Source organism: Homo sapiens, chromosome 6, assembly GCF_000001405.40.
Source record: "Homo sapiens chromosome 6, GRCh38.p14 Primary Assembly".
Lineage (NCBI taxonomy): Eukaryota > Metazoa > Chordata > Mammalia > Primates > Hominidae > Homo > Homo sapiens.
The window spans coordinates 1,399,092-1,417,161 of record NC_000006.12 but is presented as its reverse complement, the minus strand read 5'-3'; the positions used below and the strand labels follow the sequence as shown (position 1 = coordinate 1,417,161).

Genomic DNA, 18,070 nt, shown 5'->3' with positions numbered 1-18,070 from the left:
AGAATTGTCCTTTCTATTGTTTAGCTTTTCGTGTGTTTGGGTCTGTTCTCCCTTGGTCTAGAAGAGAGACAGCCAGACGTGGCCCACGGTCATGGGCTAGATGCCCAGTCCTGCCACTCGCTTGCTTTGTGGCCCTGGGCAAATTCGCTGCCTCTCTGAGCCTCTGTCACTTCCCCTGAAAGACCCAGCTAGGGGACACCTCCTCAGGGGGCGGAAGCCCTGACAGGGACACAGTGGGTGTTCTGTAAAGATCTGGTCATTTAGGAGTTTATAGAAGAGTCGAATAATGACCTTGGGCCGGGAGAGTGGAGTGACAGCAGTGCAGAGCCAGAGGTTAGCACGGGGGAAGAAAAGCAAGATTTTTGTTTGTTTGTTTTTGTTGTTGTTTGTTTTTTTACTAGAGATGGGATTTCACCATGTTGACCAGGCTCGTCTTGAACTCTGGCCTCAAGTGATCTGCCCACTTCCGCCTCCCAAAGGGCTGAGATTACAGGCGTGAGATCCACCTGGCCTGGCCGAAAGCGAGACTCTGACTGTAGGGGCTAAGGCTGCGCTCTGTGCCTCTGGTGGGAGTTACCTGCAGGCCTCCGGGGCGGCGCCCCGTGCATTCCCCCAGCAGCTCCCCGCAGGCGGCGCCCCGGTGCATTCCCCCAGCAGCTCGCTCCCTGCTCCTGGGGTTGCCTTGGGCTTCGGCTCAGAGGGGAGGCGTGGAAGGCATTTCACAGAGGTGATTTCTTTGTCAGGCGCCCCCGTGTCCTCCGTGCTGGGAAGCCTGGTCCTGATTAGGCCATCCTGTGGGTGGCCCAGCCTCACAGGCCTCGGGCTCTTTCCTCCTTGGTGGTGGATGGTACTGGCAGCCTTGGTTTTTCCAACCATGAGAAATTGCATGGGGTAGAAATTTGAGAGTGGCTTTTCCTCACTGCAGTCAGCATCAACAGCCTCCCTGTTCACCTTCATGGGTGATGACTCCCCCAGGGGCTGTGTCTCCCTGCTGACCACGGCTGCCTCCATGTGATGGGTCAGCCCGTGCGGCTCATGGCACAAGGTCCCCGTCACCCACACCCACTCCTGGGAAGCGACTGATGAAAGTGGCTAGTGCATTGTTGTTTTGTGAACTTTAGTAAAAATTCCTCCTGTAAAAACATTCAACAGACCCTTGAGACCCGTGACATGGTGAAAAGAGAGTGACTTTGGAGCCTGCAGACGTGGGTGCAAATCCAGGCTGCACTACTGAGCATGAAGGTAATAGCTGTGTGACCTTGGGCAAGTCACTTGCCCTTTCTGAGCCTTGTTTCCCTATCTATAAAAATCTGCTTGATGTAATTATCGGAAGGATTCAAGAAAACATATATAAATCACTCACTGTGGTATCTAGCATGTGTTAGAGTATGGCAACGATTATAAAAGTAAAAACGATTATTTATGTAAGTGTGACAAATTACGAATTACTCATTTTTCTTGCCTGGTGAATGTAGGACCAGTAGATGCTTTCTGTGATCTGAGTTGGCTGAGATGCTTTATGCGCCCACATGAGTCAGGGGTTGTGCTAGATCCTGGCATCCCATGAGTTTGTTTGAATCACACTCGCCCATTTCATTCTGCAGCTTGAGATCCTCGCGGGGAATTGGGCCTCTGCAATTTCAAAAGAGATTTCTGTTCTGAAAGCCCTTGAAATAGGCTCTTGTCCTCAAGTTATAGAGTTTTAGAGCCAGGAAGACATTTAGAGAGGACCTGGCCCAATGTCTTTGCTTTTAATGAAGAAAGACTCAGAAAAATGAAGTGATTAGCCAGGGAGGGCTGAGTAGGAATGGTCTTCACGGCCCAACGCATCGGGCATTTGCCGTGTAACGGGAGTGGTTAGGAGCACCTGGCCTGAAGTGTCTTCTTGAATCTTCTCTGGTCTGTTTTGTCCCCATGGTATGGTGAGGAATAGGGACAGTCAAGTCTTCAGTCTTCAGCGCCTGGGTTTTTCCTGTCATGGATGCCACCTCTCTCTAGCTTCATGGAAGGGACTCGAATGTTGCCGATGTTCAGCTGCTGTGTCCTCAGCTTTCTTATAGCTCCATAGCTGTGCTGTGGCTGTGGGGAAGGAGCCCCTGAGAAGCGGTCATCTGCATGGTCTCTGGCAGCCCTGTTAGGATCATATTGTGACTGGCCAGGAAACAGCCCGGGGAGGAAACAGCCAGATTCTTGTTTAAGATCAGCATTGGCTGTGAAAACCACACAGCCTAATTCTCGCCTCCATTCATGAAGAAGAAGGAGGGGAATTACAGAAAGAGCTTCACGTTTCAGTCCTTCACATGCCTGGAGTTAGCGTGAGGAGGCTTTATGGCCCAACACTCGGTAGCACCTCATTGACTATCCCCAGCTCAAAGCATGCACAGGAGGACACAAAAATAAATCTCTATTTGAGTATGCTCCTGTTTTACATTCAAGGGTTAGCTGTCCGTGTGTCTTCAATAGCAAATCATCCTGGTGATGATAGATCATAAGCTCAAGAGGGAATTGCCTCAGGAGAACAGGTACTTAATCATCGGGGTTGGATGGAGGTTGCCTCATCCTAGAGTTTGGGGGTGGGGGATGACCTCCAAGGCCCGCTCAGGACTAGCTGTCTATTCTAAAATACCAGTCTCTGTTGGGACTTAACCGGCCCAGCAGCAAGAGTCATGGTCACTCTGCCTCTTCACCCTCAACCTGCAATGTCATTGCTACGGGAAGGGATGGTCGCTGATATCCTCTGATTAGGGTATCCTGAATCTGTTTTGATGTGGTTATGAGTGGCTTCTTTCAAATGGAGTAATTGATTTTAATGGCAGCATGTAAATAATTAACAATGAGGCACTTACCTTCATACTCTCAAGGCTCTCCCGCTGAAGAAACCGTCTGCCTTTACTGCCACAGACGGGAGTCCTGGGCTGTGGAGTGGTGCACGTCACAGTGCCAGCCCCCATGGTTGGTTGTCCTGATTTTTTTTTTTTCCACTTATTTCTAGGCTGCTTGTGCAGACAGATGCATAGGCATTTCTATAGGTTGCTTGGTGCCTTCTTTGCACTTACCACTTTTTCAGACTTATCCAAGTATTTGGACACTTGTCTTTATTTCACTTCTTCTCTGCCAGATCACGTGCCCTATCTATTGTGTTCATCTCTATATTCCCTGGGTTTAAAACATCAAGGATGCACAAAGAGTAATGAGCAGGTAAACAGTAGTTTCTGAGTGAACCTGAGTTATGAACAAATAAACTTAGAACTCCATGCTATGGCAGATACCCTCTGCTGTGTGTGCCTGAAATGGCCAAGCTTGTTCCCCTGCAGTGAAAATGAAATCTCTTTGCAGAAGTGAGTGTGCAACACAGTTACTTGATAGTTACATTCACTTCTGAAATGGGCTACAACTTAATTCCTGTGTCTTGAGCATTGAAAGGGGATTTTTGTTATTCCTCATAATCTAATAATCTTCAAAGGTATTCTTTTCAGTTGTGTTTGCACCAGGATCCCTACCCTATAGTGTTATAGTGACTTCATGCTTGCCCAAGAATCTTCTCAATTTCACCCTCGGCTAATATACATTTGCATTTCTAGTAGGTCCTCTTGTTAAAGATAAATTTATAATTCTGTGCATGTATCTATGGTGGATCGAGACATGTTTTCCTGGTAAAAATACGTAGTAAGGAGTTTTGATTCACGAACATCTTTTCTTTAGCTACATTATTACTTCAGTATCCTCTTAATATGTTCAAAAGCTGAAACCCATTAAGATTCTTGAGAATGTTTCTTCAAATATGCTCTGATTATTAAAAGTGTAAAATATATAGAGTCACATCAATTTCTTCTGTTCACTCTTGTTTGGATGCAAAATTATATATGAAGGGTTTCAAACGGTGGCCTGTCATTTGTATCCAATCTGCAGATGTGTTTTAATTAGCTGGCACGGTGCTTATAAACTATGAGCCAATATTTAAAAAGCAGGAGATTTTGCATAAGAATCTAGACTGCTGGAAAATTTTTGTAGTTACCCTGCATGTCCACAGCAGGCTGTGACGGAGGGAGCTGCGTCGGCCGGGCCTGCTGTGCTTTGCAGGCCCACCTCCCGCTCCTTGCTCCTTCCAAGTCTCCTGTTTAAATTCCCGGAAATGTGGGATTAGGGGTGATCTAGGTTTTTTTTTTTTTTTTTCCAGATTTTATTTAACGTTGTTTCAAAAATTTTTATAACATTAAAGAAAAATAGCTTTGGAGAAGCTTATGTTGTTGCCTTAAGGATTAGTCTGTGTATATCCTTCTTAGTCAAATTGCACTTTGAGAATCTGTGAAAATTTTAGAATGGAACAGTGAGAGGAAGAGGAGCGAAAAGGTAGTGATTACATTGCCAGAGGCTTTCTTGGTCATTTCTTTGTGAGCTAGTTGAGTTATTCTGTGTTTGACTTGCGGCTTCTAGCGTTGCCAGATGTAAGAATGCCCCGAAGTGCGAGGTGGGAAGCAGCTGCGTTACGAACATCTCCTTTTTCATCTGGGGCAGGATGAGCCGTCACTTGCTGGGATTCCTCCTGAGTCCCTGTGGGTTTGTTCACCTGGAGCAGCATCTGCGTCTGGGATGGATGTGGAATGACGATAAACTAGCTGCCATGGGGAAGTGATGTCAAAATGTACAGTAAACCCAGAGAGCTCTGGAAACATCATTTCATCGAGTCCCAAACAATTGCTATCATTGGAGTTTTCAGTGTTTTGAAGTCGGCATGCTTCCCACAGGAGCAGTGCCCTGTCATGCGGGTCTCCCATCGCTTCTCTTGCTGAATGGCTCAGATCATGGCCAGCTGGCATCCATATTCACGTGGAACTCCACTGTTGGCATGTGGTACACATTTGTAGCAAAACAAGGATTTTTTTTTTTCTGTAGGTAGATGTCACTGAGAATATACTTATTTGGGCAATAAGGTCTCCAATGACAGGAGCTGGCAGGAGCACACCTTTCACCAAGAGACACAGGAAATTTAATTCATGGAATCCAAGGTGGACACAGGATGCATTTTCTCCTTAAAGATTTATAATTTTTTTTTTTTTTTGAGACAGGGGCTTGCTCTGTCGTCCAGTCTGGAGTGCAGTGGCATGATCATAGCTCACTGCAGCTTGACCTCCCAGGCACAAGCAATCCTCCCATCTCAGCCTTCTAAGTAGCTAGGACTACAGGTGTGTGCCACCATGCCCAGCTAATTTTAATTTTCTTTTTTTAGAAATGGGGTCTCACTGTGTTGCCCAGGCTGGTCTCGAACTCCTGGCCTCAAACAATTCTCTTGTGTCTGCCTCCCAAAGTTCTGGGATTACAGGCATGAGCCACCACGCCCAGCCTACAGCACTTCTTTAAAAAAAAAAAAAAAAAATTTTTTTTTTTTTTGAGACAAGGTCTTACTCTGTCACTCAGGCTGGAGTGCAGTGGCTCGATCACTGCTCACTGCAGCCTTGACCTCCCTGGCTCTAGTGATCCTCCCACCTCAGCATCTTCCCTACCTGGAGTAGCTGGGACTACAGGCATGTGCTACCATGCCCAACTACTTTTTTTATTTTTATTTTTGTAGAGACAAGAGTCTCACTATGTTGCCCAGGCTGGTCTTGAACTCCTGGGCTTAAGGAATCCTCTTGCCTCAACCTCCCAAAGTGCTGGGACAATAGGTATAAGCCACCTTGCTTGGTCAACACTTCTTAAAATGTGTTGAAACAGTTATAAGATTTGACTTTTTAATGGCCATAAACCAGAGCTTCTCTACCTCTGCCAACCTCTATGCCGTTTTGGGCAAACTATTGTTTTTATGGCTGTCCTGTGCACCGGGGGATGTTTAGCAACATCCCTGGCCTTTAGATCCAAGATGCCAGTAGCAACCACCCTCTTCTGCAGTGCCACAGTCAAAACTGTCTCAGCATTGCCAAATGTCCCCTGGTGGGCAAAACCATCCCAGTTGAGAACTGCTGTTGTCAACCCTCTGAGATCTTTTGATTTTGCCGGAACGGTTCAGAATTTTTCATCAAAGATCTCCAAAGGGACTTGGAAGTCTGAAAAACTGTGTTTCCTCTCTGGATCCCTGAAGGGCAGGGACTCACTTTCAAAATCAAAGCATGGAACATGCTTCCCTCTCCTGTTCCTTTGGGAACCAACCCTATCTCTTCTGGGCAAGTTCCTTCATCTTTCTTAGCCTCATTTCCATTTTTTATTTATTTATTTATTTATTTATTTATTTATTTATTTAGAGGCGGAGTCTCGCTCTGTCGCCAGGCTGGAGTGCAATGGCGCGATCTCAGCTCACTGTGACCTCTGCCTCCTGGGTTCAAGTGATTCTCCTGCCTCAGCCTCCTGAGTAGCTGGGACTACAGGCGCCCACCACCACACCCGACTAATTTTTTGTATTTTTAGTAGAGACAGGGTTTCACCGTGTTAGCCAGGATGGTCTCGATCTCCTGACCTTGTGATCCGCCCGCCTCGGCCTCCCAAAATGCTGGGATTACAGGCGTGAGCCACCGCGCCCGGCCACCTCATTTCCTTTTTTTAAAAAATGTAAATACCACGAGCCCTATCTGAGAAGGGTGAGGGAAGCCCGAATGAGATAATGTGTGCGAATGGCTACCATGTTGGAGGGCTTGGGTTCTTCGCACTCCTACCCCCATCCGCTCCCCATCAGCTCCGACATGGGAACCACCTGTTTTCAGCCAAGCACAAGCCCCCCAGGTTAGACAACAGGGTCCTATCTCCACTTCCAGGCAGTCGACTTTCCTGAGACCTGGGTGCCTTGGCCGCCCAGGCTAGGAGACTTGAAGCTCTTCTCTCCTCAAACCTGGGCCGATTTGCTTGTTATCTTCTCAAAGGGTAGAGTGAGGGCTGCTGACGCGCTCCTGGAACAGTCACCGTGATGACTCGGGGCTCCGCTGGCACCCTGGGCACACAGGCCGTGCTGTTGCCTCCCCTCCCACACCCTCCGGAGATTGCCATTTTCTAACGCAGTTCAATGGTTTCTGCATCTGCATATAAATAAAGTGTATTTATTTCTCTGATTCTCGTAAGAAAACCCAAAGCCACAGAGATCGTGTTTGAAGCTCCAAAACCCATGACTTGAGGTTTCCCTCCCATGGTGCATTCCCCTTCCACCGCATGGACGGGGGCTGCACAGATCTCTGCTCTGCTCTAAGGGGCCCGAGGCCGAAAGGGGGGCAGCCCGAGGGAACACACCAGGCTGCCAGTGTCCTTGCGCTTCCTCTGCTCCTATTCAAAACCACCACGCTTTCAGAGAGGCAATTGCTTTTGTGATCTGCAACCGTGGGAGGCTCCGGGGGCCATGGGGCTTCCTTTGCTTCATGTTCCTCTCCTTTCTTTTAGAGTTGGAATCTTGTTTGGGTAACAGTTCAGCAGAAAGAGTGTTAACCATTTCTAGACAGGCAGAAGCGATCTGTGTATGCTGTGTGTATTCAAGAAAATTCACGGCTCTTTTCAATAAGGCATCTAAGGCCTTATCAGTAAGTGCATCAGAGTAAAAAAGGAAAGAATAAAGAAGTTAAATTCATTTACGTATATAGGCTTGTATACCTGTAGAATCTCAGAAGGAATCACAAGAGACAAAATAGATTGCCTCTGTGATGGAGGAAGGGAGATTTGATTTCACTCTCCGTGTTCGTGCATATAAACCATTGCATATCTACAATATGCATGTATTTATTAAAAATAGGATACAATTTCAAACATAAAATAACAAATTGAAAAAATTAAAGACTGACACACAAGCTTTCTAAGATAAGGAGGGAAAAAAAAGAAAGAAGGTTGAGGCAGCTTGCGGAGATACATTTAACAGCAGAGAGGAAGTCGGGGGCGAGGGAGACGCACAGGACCTGGTGCCTAAGGGCGCACACGGGGACATTGTAGAGATGACTAGGCCTCCTCCAATATGCCAGTGAGCATCAGATAGCCATCTCTGTAATGTCTCTCAACGTGGGCTCAGGCTCAGGCCCAGGTTGGACTCAGAGGGGGTAACTGTGTCCACCAAAAATTCTTCCCTGAGTACTTGGCCCTTTTGTGGGCTTGGGAGCTACAGACAGGATTTTGAATAGATGGTACATGTCTTTGGATACTCTTTCATGGATGTTACAATATTTCTTAAAAATCAGCTTTGTGATAAGACCCAGGCAGCAGAGCTTAAGATTCTATTCTCTGGCAGGAACCTCAGTACGTAGACTCAAATTTGCCAAAAAATAGCAAATCCACACCCTCAGATGATCGGCCACAGCCCACCTCTCGACTCTGCACAGATAAATGTGCAGCTGTTGGATCTTCCCTCACAATGGAGAGGTCCAAAGTGAAAAGTGTTCAGTTTTGTTTTTTTTTTGATGGAGTCTTGCTCTGTCACCCAAGCTGGGGTGCAGTGGGGCATGATCTCCGCTCACTGCAACCTCTGTCTCCCGGGTGTTCATGCCATTCTCCTGCCTCAGCCTCCTGAGTAGCTGGGACTACAGGCGCCCGCCACCACGCCCGGCTAATTTTTTTGTATTTTTAGTAGAGACGGGATTTCACCGTGTTAGCCAAGATCGTCTTGATCTGCTGAACTCGTGATCCACCTGCCTCGGCCTCCCAAAGTGCTGGGATTACAGGCGTGAGCCACTGCGCCCGGCCAAGTGTCAAGGGCAGGCCTCAGAACGCTCTTGACAACGTGAAAAAACCATGCTATGCTTTTTTTCCACAACGCTGGCTTGAGCCCGACGCAGGAAGCGTTGATGGGGAGCTGTGCGTTTACACGGTTCAATCTCCTTTGACGGCACGCCCTTGCCCTGCTCAGTCTTTTGCCTGTACAAAGCCCACCCCCTACCAGTGAATCACTGTCCCTCCCTGCTTTCCCTTGCCCCGTCAAGGCAGCTGCACTCCCAGGTGAGTGCTATTGTAAATCTCAGATCCACCCACATCAGGCGCCCAGGTCCCCGAAGGACAGCCTTTGGCTGTTCGACCACACTGCCATGTGCTATGAAGTGGTCACAGCCACGATTGGGATTCCAACAGCTCTGGCAGTTCCCAAGCGCCAAAGGGAAGATGGAGAATTTAATCAACCTCAGTAGCCATTTACTGCTCCATATATTACAAAACAGAAGAGATTATGTCTTAATTACACGCCCTTTATTCCAAAAGGCCGTGATCATCTGTGGTGGCCACTAGCATTTAAATAAATCATGGAAAACATGTGTCTGGCCTCTGAGGTTAATAACGTGCTGGCGATCTTTCCAGGAGCCAAGAAGTTTTCTGTAATCATGGACAATTGCTGCATGGGCTTAAATCGAGGGCAGAGCTGAGTCACTTGACTGTAAACACGTGGTGGAGAATGTCTGGGCTCATCTTGACTTTCTCATGGTGCTGACGGTGGGAGTGTGGGTGGGGGGCACTGGGGATCCGGTCCCAGGGAGGCAGCCGCAGAGGAGCTGGGGACCCTGCAGGGCTGTGGCCACGGTCCTGGGCTCTCCCACAGGCCCTGGCTTCTCCTCTCTTGGAGGAAATGCAGCAGACATTTAAATATTTCCAAACCAAACAAGACACCCTGAAGGACGCTCCTCCTGCGGCCCCATCATCTGCTTCAGGCCAGATTTGGAAATATCAAACAACAGTGACAGAGGCAGCTTGGCTTTGCAGAGGACGAATAGGGAAGACAGGAAAACAGAGCTGGTGGCTGCCACTGTGCTGGGCTGCTGCCCTCAGACTGGGAGACTGCTTTTAAATATAGCAAAGTCAGGAATGCAAGGTGTCTTCAAGTCACAGTTCCCTGAGTGTCCCCCACCCTCCTCCAGCATCCACAATAAACTGGTTGGGCCTCAAGGGTTTCCATGGGTCATATGAGTTCTTTTTGACCTGGAAACACTTCCTTTCAGGTTTTTCACGGCTATTTCTCAGAGAGCATCCTTGTACTCTCATTTATTCTAAAAAGGCCCTTCATGCTCTCTCCTGCACCCAACAGTTTAATCAGACTTAACATTTTCATGTGGGCTTTGGATGGTGACAGAAATAAAAGTACTAGAATCAAACCATCCTTCCCACCTCATCCCCCAACCCCAGAGCCACCTCTTGTCTGTTCCATAAGACTACAGCCTGCTCCAAAATTCTGAAAAGCCTCATCTAATGTCAGCACTGAATTTGGGGAAGGAAAAGGAAAGTTGTAACTCTGGCCTTGTTCTGCACATAATTGTGAATAGAATTGTGGTTTCTTTCTCTCTTTTGTAATCTTGCTTTCCAAATTAAAACCCCTCAATGACTCAGCCTCTGCTAGGGACTGAGAAAAAGAGTCTTGCAAGGGCCATCGAGAGAATGCCTGGGTGAAAGCCAGAGGGCAGTGCGGGAAAACTGCAGTCCCCATCTCCAGCGGGCCTCACAGATTTTGCCTCCCCAAGCCTGGTTCAGTTCCCTGGGGGTAATACGGCAATGGCACCCCCACCCTCCCTGTGGGAGAGGGGCTTGAGTGCTGTGTAAGGGAGTCTGGGCCAGACTCTGGTTTTGAACTCTGAGGGCAGGTCCTCCTCCTCTCCATGCACCCCGGAATCTCCCTTCTTACCAAGCCTCCTCCTGCCGAGCCAGATCTCTGCCTGGGGATTCCTGCTTTCCTCCTCCCCTGTGCCCTGGGTGGGAAGTTGGCCTCTGAGGGCCGGGCCTGAGCTCCCATCCCTCCCGCCTCACTCCCGGGGAGCCAAGACTGGGCCTGGACACACCTGGTTCTCATTTGGGGTTAAGCTGATGGAGACACGGCCCGCGGGCTCTCAGAGCAGCTGGTTCTCTCCCATGGGACCTCAGTGGAAAGGGTGGGAGTCCTGGAGGCCATGCAGGCTGCCTTTGCCCAGCCTCCTCAGACGCTGGGGTCTGTTGCATTCTTTTTTTTTTGAGATGATGTCTCAGTCTGTTGCCCAGGCTGGAGTGCAGTGGTGTGATCTCGGCTCACTGCAACCTCCGCCTCCTGGGTTTAAGAGATTTTCCTGCCTCAGCCTCCCGAGTAGCTGGGACCTCAGGCGTCCACCACCACACCCAGCTAATTTTTGTATTTTTAGTAGAGACAGGGTTTTACCATGTTGGCCGGGCTGGTCTCGAACTCCTGACCTCAAATGATCCCCCTGCCTCAGCCTCCCAAAGTGCTGGGATTACAGGCGTGAGCCACTGTGCCCAGCCAAGGGTCAGTTCCATTGTTAGGGGATTAATGGATGACATCTACTCCAGTGTGGGCTGTGTCTTGGGCTGTTCATGAACTTAGTGGACAAACACCCTGTATCTTACACCCAGAGTGTATCTTACCAATTGTCAAGCTCAAGGGGTACACAGATCCTGCCAGGAAGCCTCCCCCATCCTTTCACAGACCAGCCCGATTCTGATGTGTGGAGTCCGATGGAGTTGGGTTGGGGTTTCAGCTGTCCCAGTTACCAGGTATGTGACTGCGAATGATCTTGCTCCTCTAGGAAGTGGGTTTAGAAATACTTGCCTCCTAAGACTCTTCAAGATCCCACTCACAGATGGCTAGCAGAGACCCGGGGCCCACAGAGAGCTGCCTCTGTGAATGCCCAGCGTTTGTACTGTGCAACGATGCTAGCTCATCCAAGTTCAAAAAGGGGAAAAAAATCTTTGTCCTGTCTTCTTCCTTTTTTTTGAGAGGTGTGTGCCTTGATGCAGAGACAGTGTCTGATGCAGTTTCAGGGGCACTGCTGCCTCTCCCAGGGACTTGTGGAGTCCATAACTATAGGCTTTGCCCTCCCCAAAAGAATGCAGTCCCGCTGGGGGCTAGAGCTCATTTGCGTGCTGGCTCTAGCGTTTTCTCTCTGCAGGAAATAAAATCTAGCTTCCAAGCCACTCCATGCTCAAGGCACAGATGGAGAGAAGGGATGGGCCTCGCTGGTCTGGCTCTCTGAGAGCCTATTTAATCTGGAGCTTACTAGGGCAGGGGAGAAGGCCTGGGGTTGTGGACCCAGAAATCAAGTATATTTCTGTCCAGCTGTGAGCTCGATTTATAACTGTTATGGTTGAATTATGTTCTTCACACTCCCACCTCCCCCAAAAAGTATGTTGGAGTCCTAACTCCCAGTGACCTCATTTGGAGATAAGGTCTTTACAGAGGAAACTGAATTAAAACAAAGTCACTAGGGTGGGCTCTGGTCCCGTATGACTGTGTCCCCATAAATAGGGGAGATTAGGACAGATACACACACAAGGAAGAGCATGTGGGGACACAGGGAGAAGACACCGTCTGCAAGTCAAGGAGAAGGGCCTCAGGAGAAACCAACCCTGCTGATACTTGGATCTTGAACTTCCAGCCTCCAGGACTGAGATGATAGATTTCTGTGTGTAAATCACCCAATCTGTGGCACTCCGTTGCAGGACAGACCTAGCAGATGCCCTATGGCTTTTCTAGGCCATAGCCTCTTCAGGGCTGCTATCTGGAAGGGACTCCTGGGGCTGTGGGCGGGAGACAGCCCACAGCCATCTCTGGGACATTATCTTTAGTGTGTGTACTTGTGTTATTCCCAGGGCACAGTAAGGAACAGGGCTTTCCCTATAGCCTGGAGGGGCCTGTCTGTGGGCTTCACTGATCTGGCGGCCAGTGCCCACTGTGAAGACCTGAAGCTGGAGCAGCCTCCTTACTTGGCACTGCTGCTCAGTTGCTCCTTGGCAGAGATTCACATCCGGGTGGAGGACTCCCAGCCCGGCGACCTGCCCCATTCCTCTTGGGATGGGGACTTGCTTGAAAAGGATGGGTCATCTAAGAGGAAGAGGGATTGCCCTTGCTGATCAAACCCTGTTCTTACCATTGCAAGGGGACACCCCATGTTCAGAGCCTGAGTCAGAGCCCTGGGACCTCACCGCTTCCTGGAGCCATGACGTCCTCTCCACACTCCACGCAGATAGCTGGCCAGCCTCGGCTCTGGGCTCCTGGAGGAGGCACCCTCCCTAGCCTGTTCTGGGAGATGCTGCCCTGTGCTGTGGTTCCAGCTGGGGGCCTTGTCCATGGCCAAGGGGCTTGGGTTGGCCTCTGAGAACAAAAGCAACCTTTTAATTTAAAAGAGGCAGTTCTTCCTGTTTCTGGGATTAGAGCAGGGTTGTGATTAGAAAAAAGGAAACTTCAGAAGATGATGAAACCACTGTGGTGGATTTGGAGATTTGGGAGGATGGCAGGCGTGATGGGATGTCAGCCTTTAGTGCTTGCAGATAGACCCACAACTGAATAGCAGATTGTGTGCGAGTGTGTGTGTGTGTGTGTGTTTGAATGTTGCTGTGTGTGTATGCATGTGCGTGTGTGTGTCTCGGTGTATCTGCATGTCTGCATGTCTACATGTATGTCTGTGTGTGTCTGTGAGTGTGGGTCTCTGTGTGTATGTCTATGTGTGTCTGCGTGTCTGTGTGTATCTATGTGTTTGTGTGGCTCTGTGCATCTGTGTGTATGCATGCATGCTTTTGTGTATCTACATATCTCAACATATGTGTCTGTGTGTGTCCCTATGTCTCTTTGTGTTAGATGTCTGTGTGCAAGCGTGTTTGTGTGTCTTTATGTCTGCCTGTCTATATCCTTGCTTGTGTATGTCTGTGTGTGTATCTGTATCTGTGAGTGTCTATGTGAGTGTATGTGTCAGTGTGTGTATCTGTATCTGTGAGTGTCTATGTGAGTGTCTGTGTCAGTGTGTGTGTTAGTGTCCGTATTTATACCTCTGTGAGTGTGTGTGTGGATCTATGTCTGTGTGTGTGTGTCTACATCTGTGTGTGAGTGTGTCTGTGTTTATGTGAGTGTGTCTGTGCCTATGTGTGTCTGTGTCTATGTCTGCATGTGTGTGTGTCTGCGTGTATGTCTGTGTCTATATGAGTGTGTGTGTCTGTGTCTATGTGGGTGTCTATGTCTTTGTGTGTGTTTGTGTGTGTATTTGAGTGTGTGTCTGTGTTTGTGAGTCACTATGTGAGTCTGTGCATCTATGTGTGTCTCTGTGTGTGTCTATGTGTGTGTGTATGCGTGTCTATGTCTGTGTCTATGTGTTTGTGTCTGTGTGTGTCTATGTGAATGTGTGTGTGTGTCTATGTATTTGTGTCTATGTGTTTGTGTGTGTCTGTGAGTGTGTGTGTATGTGTGTGCATGTGACTATGTGTGTCTATGTCTGTGTGTGTGTCTGTGTCTATGTCTCTGTGTGTGTGCCCATGTCTCTGTGTCTATGTCTGTGTGTCTGTGTGCGTGTGTCTATGTGTGTGTGTTTGTCTGTGTGTATGAGTATGTGTGTGTCTGTGTATCTGTGTGCATGTCTGTGTGTGTCTATGTCTGTGTGTCTGTATGTGTGTGTCTGTGAGTGTGTGTCTGTGTGTTTCTATGTGAGTGTGTATGTGTCTGTGTGTATATGAATGTGTCTGTGTGTTTGTGTCTATGTGTGTCTATGTCTCTATGTGTGTGTCTGTGTGTGTCTATGTGTGTCTCTGAGTATGTGTATATGAGTGTGTGTCTGTGTGTGTGTGAGTGTGTGTACGTCTCTCTGTGTGTTTTCTTTAGGCCGTGGCTTCCCTGTGCTTGGCCTGGAGCCCCGGGCGTCCTTGGCTTTGTCCTCTCCCGGTCCTGCGGGCGGCCCCGGCGTGGCCCTTACTGCTGGACTACTGTATCTTAGAGCACAGGGCTGTGAACAGCCTTTGCCATCATGCCAAGGAGCATATTGACAGCTGCCCTTGGAAGAGGCCCTGGGCAGGTAAGGCCAGGCGGCTCGGCTGCACCAGACGTCCAAGGCGCAAAGGGACATGTCCCTGTGACCTGAGTTCCCACAGCCTCATCCTGCCGTGGCGTGTCCGTGCCTTTCCTTTTCTGTGTCCCTCCCTCCTTGAGCTCCTGCCCTCATGCTCGGCTCTCTCTCTTAGAAAAAGGCCTGAGTAACTGATTAATGTGGAGCTATGCCTGGTGCCTGCTGGGCTGTGCGTCCCTCCTCTGCAGAGTCTAGGGGTTCAGCGTCTGCTCCCAGCTTGAGGGAGATGGATCTAGAGCAGCCGTCACCTAGGGAGCCCCAGAAGCCCCTGCCGCCCCAGGCCCATCCAGAAAGCTCGCTGTTAGGGTCTGGGGTGAGTTGGGGAGTCTGCTCGAGTGTACTGGGGTGTAGAAGGCTTGCCTGACAGCTAGGAGAATGCGGCTGTGGCCATAGCTTCCCCACCTGTAGACGGCTGTCCTGGAATGAGGGCGACTGTAAACGCAATCCTGCTCTCCAGCAGCATGGCCTGAGCATTAGAAGAACCAGGGGAGCTTTTTTCTTTTTAATTTTTAATTGACAAATAATTTTGTGTATTTATCAGGTACGATGGGATGTTTTGAGCTACGTATACATTGTAGAAAGAGTCAATCAAGCTAACACCATCACCTCACCGACTTCCCGTTTTTTTGTGGTGAGAATGTGAAGAATCTATTCCTTTAGCATACATTATTATTACTATTAACTGCGGTCACCATGGCACACAATAGATCACTAAAACCTACCCCTGCAGTCTACCTGAGACGTGCCCTATGGTCAATACCTCCCCTTTCCCCTTTCCCCATCCCTTCTTCTCCCCCAGCCTCTGGTAACCACTTTTCTACTCAGTTTCTATGAGATCGACTCTTGGATTCTCCATATAAGTCAGATCATGTGGTAGTTGTCTTTCTGTGGCTGGCTTATTTCACTTAGCCTTAAGTTCTCTGGTTCCATCCATGTGGTCTCAAATGACAGAATTTTCTTCTTTTTTAAGGCTATGCCGTATTCCAGGGGTCCCTGACTCCTCTGCCCCGTCTGTGGAAAAATTATCTTTCATGAACCCGGCCCCTGGTGCCAAAATAATTGGGAACCACTGTCATATTCCATTGTATGTACAGGGAATTCTAAAAATCTGTTCATCAGTTGATGGGCACATAGGTTGATTGCATTTCTTGGCTGTTGTGAACACCGCTGCAGTGAACCTGGAAGAGCAGACATCTCTTCCGCATACTGATTTCAGCTCCTATGGAGCGTCCTCCAGAAGGGGGGCTGCTGGAGCCTCTGGCAGTTCCATTTTTAGTCTACAGAGAAGCTGCCATACTGTTTTCCAAAATGGCGGTGCTAATTTACATTCCCGCCAACCGTGCGCAAGGGTTCCTTTTCCCCCACATCCTCGCTAATACTTATTTACTTTTTGTCTTTTTGATAAAAGCCATTCAGATGTGTGTGAGGTGGTATCTCACTGTGTTTTCATTTGCATTTCCTGATGAATAGAGAGGTCGGACATTTTCCCACAGACCTGTCGGCTGTATCCAGGGAGCTGTTAAAGTACACCTCGGCCTACCCCAGGTGACTGTGTGAACTGGCCGGATGGGCCACGGGACGGCCGCAGGGGGTTTTTTTTTCCCCCTGGAGCTTGCTGGGCTACTGTGCACTCACTCAGGCTGTGAGCAAGTGTGTCATCCAGAGTGAGTCCGTCAGCGGACCTGGTGTCTTTGGAATCCCTATTGAGATGCCAGATCCTGGCCTGGTTCCCTGTGTCTCAACCCAGCTAAGCAATTCTGTTCTGACAGCAGGTCCAGTTCCTCCCCTCCTTGAAGAACAGCTCTTAGCGGGGATTAGCACACGGCGCGCTGGGGCCCAGTCAGTCAATCAACACGGTCTACCGACACTTCCGCTCTGTGCTGCGTGGAGCTGCTGAAGGAGGAGCGAGGAGGCAGGTCTTCCTCTCCCCACACTCCAGGCTTGGACTCCACCTAACTCACAGCGGTTTCCAAATCTGAGGGGGAGGTGCTCTGCCAGTTTGGGGAGGTGAGGCCGTGCCACCCGGCAGACGAGTCACTGCCCGGCTGTGACCGAGCCTCCGTTGCCAGGCTGGAGGGTGGAATGGGCCCTTCGGAGGGAAAGCTGTCCCGCTGTCCGCTCCGTCTGTGCTCTCGTGAATACAGTTAAGCCCACAGGCCTGGCGATGCAGCCGTGGGATGGCCAAGGCTCCGTATCTCACACACGTCCCCCAGGACATGGAGAGATGAATATTTATCAGTTGGATTGCTGTGGACTTGGGGCACTCTGAACTCAAAAAGAACTTCCAGGACTTTCATTTTTTCCCCAATGACCTTGACGTCTGTGTGCCCTGGCCCTCCCTGGCCATGTCTACATTTGTGGTGTTTTTTCTTGCTAAGATAGTGTTTCATAGAGGCAGGTTTGGTAAAATGTATTTCCGTTCGGATAAAATATATTAAAATATATTTCCATTCTAAGTAAGTCAGTGCCTGTTTTGAATTAATCACCATGATGCAGAGTAATTAGGTATAATACGAATCTACAAAGAGAGTGTTTCTTTTGGGAAGGAGCTGCTAATTCCCTTTAATGCCATACCGTGGCCTATCCTAGGGACCTGAAGATTTTCCCCAGAAATCGGACTTCCACTTTCTAAAATCTAAGTCAAGATTGTTCTCCCTAATTCTGTATAAGTCGCTGTGGCAGTTCAGAAAATTTGATCATGCACAACTAGAGAATTCACTTACTTCCCCAGAATTCAGGCCAAGCCAAGTAAAACAGAAGTCCATGGGTCTTTCAGCTCGTGGGTTGGCACTGGGGACCTGGAGAGAGAATGGTGGCCTCAGAGGACAGGAATCCAGCTTCCAGGGCTGCCTCTCAGCTCCAGGGACAGGAGCTCAGGAAATGTCTGCAGACTCCTCCTCTCCAGACCTCTTTCCCTCCTTACCTCCCTCCCCCTGCTTCCCTCTCCTCCTCCTCCTCCACCCTTTCTCTCCCTCTGTCTCTCTCCCTCCTTCCTCCTCCTCCTTTCTTCCCACACCCTCCACCCATCTTTGCCCTTCCTCTCTCTTTCTCTGTGTATCTCTCTTTCTCTCCCAGTCTCTCTTCTTTCTTTGTCTCTCTCTTACCCCATCTCACTCCCTTCCTATCTCCCTCTCTCCCTCCCTCCCTCTCTTTCTTCTCCGTTTCTTTTCCCTTTCCTTCTCTATGTGTCTCTCTTCCTCTCTTCTCTCCCTCTCTCTTCCTTTCTCTTCCTCTTTCCCTCTTTTTGACTATCTTCCTCTTTCCCCTCCTTCTTCTCTGTCTCCATCTCTCTCTTTCTCTTCCTTTCTCTCCCTTTTCCTCTCTCT

General features: G+C 49.1%; 5 annotated features.

Moving 5' to 3' along the window:
- Positions 371–1,353: an enhancer, noted in NCBI's record as "H3K4me1 hESC enhancer chr6:1416044-1417026 (GRCh37/hg19 assembly coordinates)". NCBI's record gives its function as "activates a minimal SCP1, AML or CMV promoter by ChIP-STARR-seq in naive H9 embryonic stem cells {active_cell/tissue: H9 hESC(naive)}" and the evidence as "EXISTENCE:reporter gene assay evidence [ECO:0000049][PMID:30033119]".
- Positions 6,374–6,994: an enhancer, noted in NCBI's record as "H3K27ac-H3K4me1 hESC enhancer chr6:1410403-1411023 (GRCh37/hg19 assembly coordinates)". NCBI's record gives its function as "activates a minimal SCP1, AML or CMV promoter by ChIP-STARR-seq in primed H9 embryonic stem cells {active_cell/tissue: H9 hESC(primed)}" and the evidence as "EXISTENCE:reporter gene assay evidence [ECO:0000049][PMID:30033119]".
- Positions 9,069–9,918: an enhancer, noted in NCBI's record as "H3K4me1 hESC enhancer chr6:1407479-1408328 (GRCh37/hg19 assembly coordinates)". NCBI's record gives its function as "activates a minimal SCP1, AML or CMV promoter by ChIP-STARR-seq in primed H9 embryonic stem cells {active_cell/tissue: H9 hESC(primed)}" and the evidence as "EXISTENCE:reporter gene assay evidence [ECO:0000049][PMID:30033119]".
- Positions 15,129–15,278: a silencer, noted in NCBI's record as "fragment chr6:1402119-1402268 (GRCh37/hg19 assembly coordinates)". NCBI's record gives its function as "represses an EF-1alpha promoter that drives an FKBP-Casp9 reporter gene in an ReSE screen in both phorbol 12-myristate 13-acetate-treated (for megakaryocytic differentiation) and untreated K562 erythroleukemia cells {active_cell/tissue: K562 | K562(+PMA)}" and the evidence as "EXISTENCE:reporter gene assay evidence [ECO:0000049][PMID:32094911]".
- Positions 16,627–17,128: an enhancer, noted in NCBI's record as "H3K4me1 hESC enhancer chr6:1400269-1400770 (GRCh37/hg19 assembly coordinates)". NCBI's record gives its function as "activates a minimal SCP1, AML or CMV promoter by ChIP-STARR-seq in naive H9 embryonic stem cells {active_cell/tissue: H9 hESC(naive)}" and the evidence as "EXISTENCE:reporter gene assay evidence [ECO:0000049][PMID:30033119]".